Genomic DNA, 13,944 nt, shown 5'->3' with positions numbered 1-13,944 from the left:
TTGCAAAGACCCATGGCTGCTCCGCTTTCCTCCTTTTCTCCAACTTCAGGCCTTAAGAATGAAAAAGCGGTGGAGTAAGAGTTCGATTAACTGGACTTATACGCCCCTTGGAGATTGATGGTTCTGCCACTCAAACAAAATGGTTCTGTGGAAATTAGCGAGGATGTGCGAAGTTTTGACATGGCCACAGTGTGGCTCTGCCTGAATTTTCCATCTGCACTTTGTTTTCGTCCTTCTTTTGTGCTGGGGTTGCTGGTTTGGAGTTTTCTGGGCAGCATACCCTCCATGGAGGTTCAGTGTCTGAAGGAAGGAAGGCCAAGCAGCTTGGATGTCACCTGCTGAGCCTGAAGAAGAACTTGAGTGAAAATAATCCCACTCTCCTTTGTTCTTCTCTGTTTGCTTTTTGTTTGCCTGACAGATGTTCAGCCTGGTCCATAGGCACCGACTGGCTTCTCAAAGCCTCCTGAGTGAGTCTCGGCTTATTGATTTCTGCACATCCGTGTTTTTGTCATTGTTACTTATGATGCCTGAGATCCCCAGCACCTCCGGCCTTCCCTTGGAACCCCTCACTCTCTCCTGGTACACCCCAAACATGGGGCCAACACCAGGAAGCTTGGAAAGCATAACTGCAGATAGTTTGGGACAGCCCTTATTTGGAGGATCTTTCCTCATGACTTTACCAGATGCTATAATACTAGTGCTCCTATTTCTGATGTAGAAGATATTATCATTCTTCTAGAGGACTCTTCTTTCTCTGTGGTTCTTATTATTCTTTCTGGTGTGCTCAGATGTTCACATTAATAAAAATTAGGAGTAAAGTCTGAAGCTAGAGTGGAACAGAAAACCTGGAATTAGAGTCTAGGTTCTTGCTTTGTTCAGTCTATTTAGCAAAACCTCCCAATCTGTGTCTCTTGCTTTGTTCAGTCTATTTAGCAAAACCCCCCAGTCATGTTGTAACTTCTAAGAATTTGCAACTTAACCAAACAGAATTAGGAACTCAGAGTACTGTATTATCTTAGGTTGAGATTAAAATTATATTGATATCATGTCAATAATGATATCCATCCTGTGAGCTAGGGCAGAGACCCAGAAATATGACCCAGAAAATACAAGTTTATTCTAGAAAGCTTAGAAAATACAAATAAGTAAAAAGAAAAACAAAGCAATATACTAACCAAGACAACCACTGTTAACCTTTTCTTCAACATTCTTTTTGACCTTTCCTACACACTCCGCATCACTCTCTCTCACGCATCCACCACGACCATGCTCAAGCCACTGTGATCTCTTGCAGGATTTATCTGGAAACTCTCTTTCCATTTGTGTATAAATGAATCTCACTGGCTGCCACAGCTATTTCTTGGAGGAATAAAAGCAAACGCTTGGACACTGAGGAGTGGATTGGTAGGTGAAAATAGTGGGTTTTGATGATACTTCTAAAATTTTGATTGTATATTTAAAATATGTTTAGAAAATCAAGTTGGAATCATGCTCTGCATATCAGCCCAGACTCCTTTAATCCCAAATGACAGGAAACTCAATTCGTCTGGACCCAAGCAGTAATAGAATGCATAGACTTACCAAACTGAAACTCCAGAGCAGGGTTACCTTCTGGGAGACAAGAATAAGTGGCTTGAATGAGTTGGTTTCTCTTTCTCTTCACTCTGCTCTCTGAGCTGTTGGGTCCACTGTCCCCAACCATCAAACATGGCAGCAAAGTACCTGTCATCATTCTGTACCACTCGGGGCAAGAGAGGATCCTGAGTGGCTCCTTAAGAAGAAACATATTTTCTTTTTTACAGAAGCCTCAGGAAACTCTTGCAATCTTATTTTTCATAATTGGGTGCCATAGCCACAGATGTGGCCAGTTGGGTGGGATGTGCTGACTGGCTTATGCAAGGGGACACTCCTGAGAAGCCAAACCACCAGCCATGTGGTGAAGATGGAAAGAGGTGGTTCTTAGAAACAAGTTTTGGTGCTGTTCCTAGAAAAAAGGAATGAACTTTGGACAGCAAACTTTTCTTTTGAGCTTTTTTTCTTTACTTAATAATGCTGGCTGGGTGCAGTGGCTCGCGCCTGTAATCCCAGCACTTCGGGAAGCCAAGGTGGGTGGATCACCTAAGGTCAGGAGTTCGAGATCAGCCTGGCCAACATGGTGAAACCCCGTCTCTACTAAAAATACAAAAGTTAGCTGGGCTTAGTGGCATGTCTATAGTCCCAGCTACTCGGGAGGCTGAGGCAGGAGAATGGCTTGAACATGGGAGGTGGAGGTTGCAGTGAGCCGAGATCACGCCACTGAACTCCAGCCTAGTGACACAGCGAGACTCTGTCTCAAATAAATAAATAAATAATGCGACATCAGCCAGGCACAGTCACTCACACCTGTAATCCTAACATTTTGGGAGGCAAAGATGGGCAGATCACTTAAGCCCATGAGTTCCAGACCAGCCAGGGAAAAATGGTGAAACATTGTCTCTACCCAAAATGCAAATATTAGCCAGGCGTGGTGGCATGTGTCTGTAGTCTCAGCTACTAGAGAGGCTGAGGCATGAGAATTGCTTGAGCCCAGGAGGCAGAGGTTGCAGCGAGCCAAGATGGCACTATTGCATTCCAGCCTGAGCTACAGAGCAAGACCTTGTCTCAAAAAAAAAGAAGGAAAGAAAGAAAGAATAAAGAAAATGTTACATCATGAACAACTTTGTGTGCACAAGCACATTGTTAGAGTTTTGTTGATTTATTTGTTTATTTTTATTCATTTGTTTTTGAGACAGGGTCTCACTCCGTTGCCCAGGCTGGAGTGCCGTGGCTCAATCACGGCTCATTGCAGGCTTGACCTCCCAGGCTCAAGTGATTTTTCCCACCTCAGCCTTCTGAGTAACCGGAGTAGCTGGGACTATAGGTGCATGCCACTATGCCCGGCAAATTTTTTTATTTTTTGTAAATCAGGGCTTCACCATGTTGCCCAGGCTGATCTTAAACTCTTGGGTTCAAGGGATCCACCTGTTTCAGCCTTCCAAAGACTGGGATTAAAGGCACGAGCCACCCAGAGTTTTATTTTTAATGGATGCATGGCTCAAAATATTTCCAAAGGTTATATAATCTATCCTGTGTGTGTGTGTGTGTGTATATATATATATATATATATATATTTTTTTTTTTTTGAGACAGAGTTTCACTATTGTTGCCCAGGCTGGAGTGCAATGGCACGATCTTGGCTCACTGCAACTTCTCCCTCCCAGGTTCAAGCGAATCTCCTGTCTCAGCCTCCTGAGTAGCTGGGATTACAGGCGCCCACCACTACGCCCAGCTAATTTTTGGTGTTTTAGTAGAGACGGGGTTTCACCATGTTGGCCAGGCTGATCTCGAACTCCTGACCTCAGGTGATCCAACCACCTCGGCCTCCCAAAATGCTGGGATTACAGGCGTGAGCCATCGTGCCCGGCTCCTATCATATACTGTTATTTAAATTGTTCACACTTTATTGATATAGTATTAATATTATACAAAGCCTCTTCAAGCATATCTTTTTGTTCACTTGTTTGATAATTTCATTAATTAATTTGAAAATTTTTCTTCAGTACCTACCATGTGTTGGTCACTCTGCTACGTACTGGGAATTATTTCGTGAGTGAAACAGATAAAACATGCTCCTTCATGGAGCCCATATTTTATGGCAGTAAACAAATGCATAGTATGTGAGTGGGTGGTGAGTGCTGAGAGTGAGTGCAGGGAAGAGATATTGTAAATCTTTTCTTCCTCTTCCTCCCAAATTATTTTGCACATAACTCTGTCATGCACCTGTCCCACGTTGAGAACATTGACCTCCCCTGTGAAAAGCACCTTGAAGGCAGACAGGGATGATAGAGCTTCTACACTCACATTCTCTATGTGAATGTAACTGCCAGGTGGTAGCTGATGTTCAGTAAGTACTCAGCAATGCAATTCCACTGCAATCAGTACTGGGCTAAGAAGGCATGAACTGTTTGTCACGGGGGTTGCACGAGCATTCCCTTTTCACTGTATCTATAGACTGGAGGACCATGCTAACTGACTTTTAGCTCCCTGATTGAGGTTGTGATGTCAGACATTTGTTAAGTAGGCTTATGTTACTCAGGCTCTAAGATTCACAGTGTGAGATGGGATTTGTGTCAGTCAGGGTCCAGACAGGAAAGTAAAAACTGCACTGGTAATTCAAACAGAGGGAATTTAACCAGATGAATTGGTTACATAGGTGTTGGAAGTCTGGAAGGGTAAAATGCGAGGTGAAACAACCCCGATATTAGGAACTAAAGAAGCTGCCCGTCCGTGGCTGGGGATGATGGTGCAAAAAAAGAGAGGGAAGGTTACCAGAACCTAAGGCAAGCAGTGCTCAGAGCAGGGTTCCTTGGCACTGGTGCTCAGCATGAAGTGGGTGGGACTCAACTGGGGCTGGAGCCAATTGACAGAAACAGGAGAATATGAGGAAGTCGCTCCTCTCTTCTCATCTTTCAAACTCCTAGGAGCTCCCATTGGCAGAACCTAATAAGAAGCCTGCTATGAAGGGAAATGCAAGTAATAAAAGCCAGCTATCTTGCAAGTGCAGTTTGCAGAGTGCTGTGGTTTGAGTGTTTGTCCCCTCCAAAAAACTTGTGCTAAAATTGAGCTGCCAGTGTGACAGTATTAAGAGGTGGAAACTTTGAGGGTGATTAGGCCATGCGGACTCCGACCTCATGGGCGGAATTAATGTTGTCATGAAAGGGTAAGTTTGACCCCTCTTGTCTGTGCCCTGCCTCCCTTCTCAGCCCATCTGCCTTCTATCATTAAAGGACACGGCAACGCGACCCTCGCCAAATGCTGTTGCCTGGATCTTGGACTCCCTGGCCTCCGTAATGGTAAGAAAATGAATTTCTGTTCATTGTAAATTATCCAGTCTCAGATATTCTGTTACAGCAACACAAACTAGACTGAGAAATGTAGTTTTAGCCCCAGCATTACAGAACAGAATATAGACAATGAGTCGAGAGACTAAGGTAAACAGTAGGCACAGTCCTCCTACTCGCTTCCATTGATTTCCTTTACCCGTGTTTGAACTGCCACACAAAACAACTCATGCTTATTCCCAATAAGACGCAGCCATAATTTGTACCAATGACATTGCTCAGCCAGAAAGGCGAGATGACAGTTCCATTAGTTGCTGCACCCATCTCAGTGTGACGTAAAGTCCCACTTGAGTCCAAGCAAAATCCCACCCAAATGTTCTAAATCTAAAAGCTAAGTTGTAAAGTTAACCACCATCAGTGATTATTACGTAAAACAATGGAAGAAAAGAGCAGAGGAAAATAATATATATAAACACATACATAACCAAAAGGAAGAAAATTCAAAGCTGCTATGGCCTTATTTATCCTGTAACTTATCTCTGGGCCACAGCTGACCTCAATAACATTCTTTTTAAAGAGAAATTTAGTAATTTACAGAATATACGCATCAGAGAGTATTGTATATCTATGAAAACACTGACATTAAGGGATGTCCATCAGGTATTATTGAATGAGAAAGGCAATTTTCAGAAAAGTGATACAATTATTACATGCTTGTTAAACAGTGACCCAAAAGGTCAAATATGTCTCTGTATCTATATTTGTATATGATTATATGTGTATTAAAAATATTGAAAAGTGGCCAGGCATGGTGGCTCATGCCTGTAATCCCAGCATTTTGGGAGGGCGAGGCAGATGGATCACTTGAGGTCAGGAGTTTGAGACTAGCCTGGCCAACATGGTGAAACCCTGCCTCTACTAAAAGTGGAAAAACTAGCTGGGCATGGTGGCACATGCCTGTAATCCCACCTACTCTGGAGGCTGAGGCAGGAGAATCTCTTGATTCTTCCCGAGAGGTGGAAGTTGCAGTGAGCCAAGATTGCACCACTGCACTCCAGCCTGGGTGACAGAGCGAGACCATGCCAAAAAGAAAAAAAAAGAAAAGAAAAAAATATATATAAAGGTATACAGAAATTTTGTAGAGCAGGTCTGCTGGTGATAAGTTCCTTCAACCTCCATATGTTTAAAAATGTCTTTACTTTGTTTTTTGAAAGATATTTTTGCTAGGCATGGAATTCTAGGTTGACAGCGTTGTTCTGTTGGTACTTGAAAAATGTGGATCCACTGCCTTCTGTCTTGCATTATTTCTGACGAGGAGTTGGCTGCCATTCTAATCTGTTCCTTTGCACATTATGTGTGTTTCTTGACTGTTTTTTGTGTTTTCTTTTTAATCATTGGTTTTAAGTAATTTATAATGTACCATGGTTTATTTTTTTTGTTTCTTGTGCTTGAGTTGTGTTGAGTTTTTTGAATCTATGGCCTATAGTTTTCATCAGATCTGAGACTTTTTCTACAGCCCACTGATGCATTATTCTTTACTTTAAATTAATAGACTATTTTTTTTTTAGACTGAGTCTTGCTCTGTCACCCAGGCTGGAGTGCCGTGGTGCAATCTTGGCTCACTGCAACCTCTGCCTCCCAGGTTCAAGTGATTCTCCTGTCTCAGCCTCCTGAGTAGCTGGGGCTACAGGTGTGCCCCAACATGCCTGGCTAATTTTTTGTATTTTTAGTAGAGACAGGGTTTCACTATGTTGGCCAGGCTAGTCTCGAACTCCTCACCTCAGGTGATCTGCCCGCCTTGGCTTCCCAAAGTGCTGGGATTACAGGTGTCAGCCACCATGCCTGTCTAATAGATTATGTTTAATGAACAATTTTAGACTTATAGAAAAATTGAACTATATGCAGAAAGTTCTCACATTACACCACTCCCCTCTCAGCACACACATTTTCTCTTATTGTTCACATTTTGCATTAGTGTGGTACATTTGTTCCAATTAGTAAACCATACTGATACATTATTGTTATTAACTAAAGTCCATGCTTTACAGTAGGGTTCACTCTTGGTGTTGCAAATTTCTATGGGTTTTGAGGAATATCATTTATCTATCATGACAGTACCATATGGAAGAGCTTCAGTGCCTTAAAACCCACCTGTGCTCTGCCCATTTTTTCCCTCCTTCTCCCAATCTTCCCTATGGAAGAGCTTCACTGTCCTAAACCCCCCTGTGCTCTGCCCATTTTTTCCTCCTTCTCTCAACCTCTAGAAACCACTGCTCTTTTCATTGTCTCCATAGTTTTGTCTTTTCCAGATTGTCATGTCATTGGAATCATATAGGATGTTGTCTTTTCAGACTGGTTTCTTTTACCTCATGACATGAATTTAAAGTTCTGCCACGTATTCACGGCTTCATAGCTCATTTCTTCTTATGGCTGAATAATATTTCATTGGATATACCACAGTTTGTTAACCCACTAGCCTACTGAAGGGCAGTTTTTGGTAATTATGAATAAAGCTGCTAAACATTTGTATGCAGTTTTTTTTGTGGACATATTTTTCAACTCATTTGAGTAAATACCTAGGTGCATGATTGCCAGATTGTATGTGAAGACAACACTTTGTTTTGTAAGAAACAGACTATCTTTCCAAGTGGCTGCACCGTTTTGCATTCCCACCAGCAATGAATGAGAGCTCCTCTTTCTACACATCCTCACCAGTGTTTGACGTCACTTTAAAGATTGTGGCCATTCTAATAGGTATGAACTGGTATTTCATTGGTTTAATCTGCACGTCCCTGATAACGTATGTTATTGACCGTCTTTTATTTGTTTTGGGCTTTTGTTTGTTTGTTTTTTGGAGAGAGGGTCTCAGTCACCCAGGCGTCAATGCAGTGGTGTAATCATGGCTCACTAAAGCCTCAAACTCTGGGCACATCTTTTATATACTTACTTGCCATCTGTGTATCTTCTTTAGTGAAGGGTCTGTTCAGATATTTTCCCCATTTTTAACAAGGTTACTTTTTAATTGTTGAGTTTGAGGAGTTCTTTGTGTACATTATATACAAGCCCTTTGCCATAATGTGTTTTGCAAATATTTTCTCCCGGTCCATTGCCTGTCTTTTCATTCTCTTGAGAATGTCTTTCACAAAACAGAAGCTTCTAATTTTAGTAAAGTCCAACTTACCAACATTTCATTTCACGCATCATTATTATGGTGTATTTACAAACTCATTGCCAAGCCTAAGGTCTCAGTATTTTCCCCTACATTATCTTCTGGAAGTTTTTTTTTTTTTTTTTAGACAGAGTCTCGCTCTGTCGACCAGGCTGGAGTGCAGTTGCGCGACCTTGGCTCACTGCAACTTCCGCCTTCCGGTTTCAAGCGATTCTCCTGCCTCAGCCTTCCTAGTAGCTGGGAGTACAGGCGCCCGCCACCACTCCCAGCTAATTTGTTTTTTTTTATTTTTGTATTTTAATAGAGATGAGGTTTCACCGTATTGCCCAGGCTGGTCTCGAACTCCTGAGTTTAGGCAATGCCCCCGCCTTGGCCTCCCAAAGTGCTAGGATTACAGGTATGAGCCACCGCATCCAGCCTTTGTTTTATGTTTAGGTCTATAATCTATTTTGAGTTAATTTTGAGAAAGGTATAAGGTCTGTACCTAGATTCATTTTTTTTTTGCATAATAATTTCCTTTTCCTACTTTTCTTCCCCCCTGGATTCCATTCGCCCTTATCTGTTACCTCAGCTTGATGGAGTTTTTTCACATTGTGAGGTAATCCAAGCCTTCATTTCTGAAGGGTCTGAATCCTTTGTGATTGTACCTTTGGTACATTGCTTAATTTTCCATTCATCTTTACTTGGATCTGGAAATATCCCTGAATTCCAGACATAGTCTCTCTTCTCTCCTTCCATAGCAGCAAAGCAATTTCCCCCGGGTAACTGGGATCAATTATCCCAGGGCACACAGTAACCCCTTTCTTTGTCTGTTGATTCAGTAGCATGAGGAGCGTGAAATGACCAGGTGGCAGTTTCAACTTCAATTCATCAGAACAATTCTGTCTTCTTTTGAGAACCAAAACCTCTAAATCAGCCTAAAGTTAAGGGGACACACAGCAAAGGTCCTCACATGGGTTATCAGACACTGCAGCAAGAGAGACCACTTTCACGTCTCTCCTTTGATTCTTGGGCTCTGGCTATAGGAGGAACCTTTGCTGGATCGAAGTTCATACGATATCCTGTTAGGGGAGCATTCAGATATTTGGGGTGTAACTAAGTTAAGCCATTCCATTATTCAACAGCCAGATGCTTGTAGCTGCTGGGGTGGGAGGAGATCCATGCTTGGTACACAACAGGGAAACTGAGTCTGTGTGGCTCCCTGCCACTGTGTTCCTGCCGTTTTAGAAGTGGGTGAACCAAGTCCTGGCTAGCCGCCAAGGTACTCAGAGGCCCTGGGCTCTGAACCTTTTCCAAGTTGTTCTGGAGGTCTTCCAGAATAAGTGGCTCTCTTTTCAGTTTCAGAGCATGAATGGTTTTGAAGCAGAAGTCAGTGAAGGCGATTGCTTAGAGCCAGAAGGGCCTGGTGGGGTTGTCTCAGGTTAGGAGCCCATTCTGTGAGCCCAATGTCCCTATGCAGAGACTCTGCCAGAAAGAGCAGGGGCCTGGCTGACCGTCCTGTTCTGGGATCCCCTTCAGCTGGAATGCAGTTTCTGTCACTGCTGCCCTCTAGGAGGCTTTGGGGAAACCGTCAGTATCTAACATTTCAGTTGTTTCTCCCTGTCCTCCTCTCTCTCTGACTCAAGGCTAGGGCCTGCCCTCTTCCCTCCAGTTCTTTCTGCTGCGTTGCCTTGAGACTTTTTCACTAGGAAACAAGCTGTTGATCCAGCTGCAAATACTCTCATTGGTTTTATTGTTGGATTTCTTCTTTTTCACAGGGAGGTAGTGGGGGACAGGACTGTTTTCCATGGCTCCAGGGTATATGGTGACTATGTTCACCTGGGACACACACAGTCCCAGGTATTAGCTTACCCATCCGAGCCCAGGGCCTTCACAGGAGGAGGCCTGTGATACGTAAGCTCTTTTCCTCAACCTTAAAAGGATATGGTGAAAAATATGACCCTCTGGTTCTCAAATCCAGTCCAAGGTTTAGTTTCCCCAGTTTCTTCTCTAATCTTCCAAATTCCCAAAAAGAGACTGGTCTAATTTTAGAGGCTGCTTGCGTCCCCACTGAGGAAAGTAGGAAAGGGCTGTTGAAGGAAGATTCCAGATCTGCGTTGGAAGTGACTCTAGACAGTTTTGCACCAACATTATCAAGGTCCCCAATGTCGGCCCAGGTCAGACGGCCACCAGAGGCAGGGCCTGCAGGAAGCCAACAAGGACCTGCACAGCCCCTGAGCTGTCAGGACAAGACAAGGCCGAATTCTGTCCTCAGGTTTGCCATGGCATGCCATAAAATCCCACCCAAGTGAAGAGGCAGGCCCAGAAGAGCAGTGTGGAGGCAGAGTGGATTAACTGGAAGATATCGCACATAGAAAGCATGAAGAAACCAACACCTCCCCAAACCTACCATGTTCCATGGCCTAAGGATGGGCGAATAATTGGGAGAGTGCTCAAATCTATTCTTTGGTTTGTGAGTACATAAAATTACTCAGGATAATTTAGAGAGATTTTTACTGTAAGACTATGAATAGTTCAGTGATCCAAAAGGCATAAAATTAGACAAAGGAGGAAAGCCTCATGGGTGGAGAGCAACCAGCCACAGAGAGCCTGCAGCAATGACAGGCAGGTCAGGATGCTCCTGGGAGGCCTGAACCACCTGGACTTGGTTTTTATGTCTCAAGCTGAGGAGACACCTGAGGGGTCTAAGACTGTGTCAGTTTAGACCTCGATAGGTCCATGATTAGTGGATGGCCCTGGCAGCACCAGCTAAGTGATGATGGGAAGGCTCTGAGAACCGCTGGGGAAGTCTGTACAGCTCCAGTCATCCCAATACTGTGAAGGGCCTCACCCCTGTTCATCTCGACACTGTGAAGGGCCTCACCCCTGTTCATCCCGACGCTGTGAAGGGCCTCACCCCTGTTCCTCCCGACGCTGTGAAGGGCCTCACCCCTGTTCCTCCCGACGCTGTGAAGGGCCTCACCCCTGTTCCTCCCGACGCTGTGAAGGGCCTCACCCCTGTTCCTCCCGACGCTGTGAAGGGCCTCACCCCTGTTCCTCCCGACGCTGTGAAGGGCCTCACCCCTGTTCCTCCCGACGCTGTGAAGGGCCTCACCCCTGTTCATCCCGACGCTGTGAAGGGCCTCACCCCTGTTCCTCCTGGTGGGGTAAGGGTCTCATTTCTGTTCGTCCTGATGGAGAAACAGTCTTATCTGTGATGATCTGGGTGGTAGGAACACCCTGACAAGTTTTGCTCATTTCGTGAGTGTGGCTAGGCCCTTGCTGCTCTTTTCATCCTTGATTGTGGAATGGTCCTCTGACCCCTGTTCATGCAACTGATGTTTAGATGACTGTGTATCATTAGTTTTCTGAGAATTCTGTTGAAAACATGCACCTTCCTGGGAGTGCCCAATTCTGCCTCAACTGCCAACAGAACACTACATGTGGGACCAGGAGATGAAGCCTGAAGAGGGTCCACTGGGGCTCCCCTTGGGTCCTGGACTCTCCCCTCCTTTTGGTGTCCGGAAGAGCTGCCCAAGCCATTTGTTTGCCTCTTTGCCAGGTGTTGTGTGGGGTGCTGGATCGTCAGGGCAGAGGAAGAGCGAGATGAGGGGAAACACTCAGAGTTCCACACAGCTGCTGTAACCAGATACCTCAGCCACAATTTTGTGATTGATAAAGGATGAAAGAAGATGAAAGAAGAACCTGGAAGAAAAGGAATTACCAACAGTCAGCTTTCAGAAATCAGTAGAAAGTTTTCAGAAACAATGTTTGATGCTTACTCTGGTAGGTAGAACACAGGTCAGCATATCCTGTGCATTTTCTCATTTTATTCTCAAAATTACGCTTGGAGGTTTTGCCAGCTTTTGCGACGATAATGCCCAAATCACCCCAGTGCTTGGTGATATACATGCATCATTTCTCACTCAGGGTCTTATGGCAGAATCCTGGGCTATTCCATGTGTCTCATCTGGAGCCTGGAGCCCGGGCAGGTTCTTCTCATGGGGTGGGAGTGGGGCAGCTCGGAGCAGAAATGCTGCTGTCCTTCAGCTGGGTGCAGACACGGTTCACTTTCCCTCCTGCCCAGGCCCCACTGGCCCAAGCAATCCTGTGTCCACCCAACACCCCTGAGGAGTGGACACGTGACCCTCCTATGGAGGGGAGATTCGGAGTGAGTGTTCACTGAACAATAACTCATTCTACCACCTATCATTTTATAGGTAAGAAAAAAGAGGCCCTGAGAGAATGATTTGTTAATCAATAGCACCTGATGACAGAGACCATATTCATAGTCTTGGTGTAAGACTCGCCACTGGAAAGACACAGTCAGGGCCCAGTTCAAGGCATATACAGGAATCTTTTGTTTTTAAGAGATGGGGTCTTGTCATCTAACCCAGGCTATAGACATTTTTTAAAATTGATCAGGGTTTATTTGCAGATATGTACATCTACTACAGCTAGTTTAAGCAGCCAGGAATGTCATACGGGGATTAGGAGAATCCAGAATCATCGAAATGGATGAAGGAGCAGGATCTAGGCTGAACTTCCTGAAATGACCCAGTAGCACCTCCACAGACCCGGCCTGGTAAGAGAGCTGATGCTTTTGCTGCAGTCAGAATTCACATAATGGAGTCAGCTATATTGAATTGTTTCCATGAGGTCAGTTAGACACAGAATTCGTTTCCAAAGTTTCTAATTTTTCAAGAGAAATTAAAGCCTAAATTTTTGAAACTCTCCTGCCTCACGAAAATAAATAAACAAATAGATTAATTAACCCTAATTCTGAAAACTAACAGTCAGAGAACTTGAAGAACAACTATGACCTAACCAGTGCTCATTACCTCCTCCATTAGCATTTGTCAGTCCTCCTCATCTGCCTGAATTACTGCCATAACCTTCTGACTGACCTGCTTGCCTCTGCACTAGCCCTGTTAAAACTCATCCTTAATACGGAAGTCAGAAATTTTACACTTTTAAAATGTAAATGCGAGTATTGTATATTAAAAACTGCCCAATGAGTTGATATCTTGATCACAATAAAATCCAAAATTGTAACAATAAAAAAAAAAAAAAACAAGAAAGAAATCCAGGGATCAGGAACCAGCCCCCGTGAGTGCCGGCTCCAAGCCCATGCTGCCTCTTCTACAGTCTATGCCAACAGAACAGAGGCCTGAGCTCTGCGTCACACACCACAAGACCACAGGGACACTCAGCATCGTAAAGCGAAAGAGGAACAGGTAGAATAAAGGGACATTTGCTAAGTCTTGTGGTATTTAATAACTAAAAACAAACTTTTCCCAAGAAAGTTGGCTTCCAATTCTCTTATCAGAATTGGAGGAGGTTCAAATTGAATTGTCAACTGATAGAGCATTACACATAAATCTTGATGAGATACTACCATGTCCATGTGATTTTTTTGTTGTTGTTGTTGCGATAGAGCCTCGTTCTATCATCCAGGCTGGATTCCAGTGGTGCACTCTCAGCTCACTGCAACTTCTGCTTCCTGGGCTTGGGCAGTCTTCCCACCTCAGCCTCCTGAGTAGCTGGGACTACAGGTGCTCACCACCACACCCAGCTAATTTTTGTATTTTTTGTAGAAATGGGGTTTTGCCATGTTGTCCAGGCTATTCTTGAACTCCTGGGCTTAAGCAATCTGCCCACCTTGGCCTCCCAATGTGCTGGGATTACAGGCATGAGCCACCGTGCCCGGCCTACCATGTGATTTTTGACATATAACTCTGGAGGAGTTCAAACAATTGAGTCCTGTTGCTCAATGAAACTCTGTATGTGGACAAAGTTTCCTCCATGCTTATAGCCCTACAAATAAACACTAGGAAAATAATTGATGCTGGACTCTCTATCATTCCAGTAATAGGTATTAGCCACCCACAGAAAAACTCATTGGAAAAAACTCCCAACCTCGTCCATCTCATCAAG

At 44.2% G+C, this 13,944-nt stretch overlaps 1 long non-coding RNA gene across 3 annotated transcripts in view; it reads left to right on the top strand.

Annotated features, from left to right (window-relative positions):
• Positions 1 to 13,944, top strand: part of LOC105378157 (uncharacterized) — a 28,344-nt gene that overhangs the window by 7,571 nt on the left and 6,829 nt on the right. Inside the window, exons 2-4 of one of the 3 annotated variants that reach the window (XR_001744492.2) lie at positions 1,295 to 1,404; positions 4,782 to 4,871; positions 11,570 to 11,793. This is a non-coding gene — a long non-coding RNA (uncharacterized LOC105378157). Of the gene's footprint in view, positions 1 to 1,294; positions 1,405 to 4,781; positions 4,872 to 11,569; positions 13,269 to 13,944 lie in introns of those variants that run through there. The other 2 variants (XR_001744493.2, XR_001744491.2) reach the window with 2 other exon arrangements.

The sequence above is a fragment of the Homo sapiens genome, chromosome 6, assembly GCF_000001405.40.
Source record: "Homo sapiens chromosome 6, GRCh38.p14 Primary Assembly".
NCBI classification, from domain to species: Eukaryota; Metazoa; Chordata; class Mammalia; order Primates; family Hominidae; genus Homo; species Homo sapiens.
The sequence above is the reverse complement of the archived record's forward strand: the minus strand, read 5'-3'. Positions and strand labels throughout refer to the sequence as shown.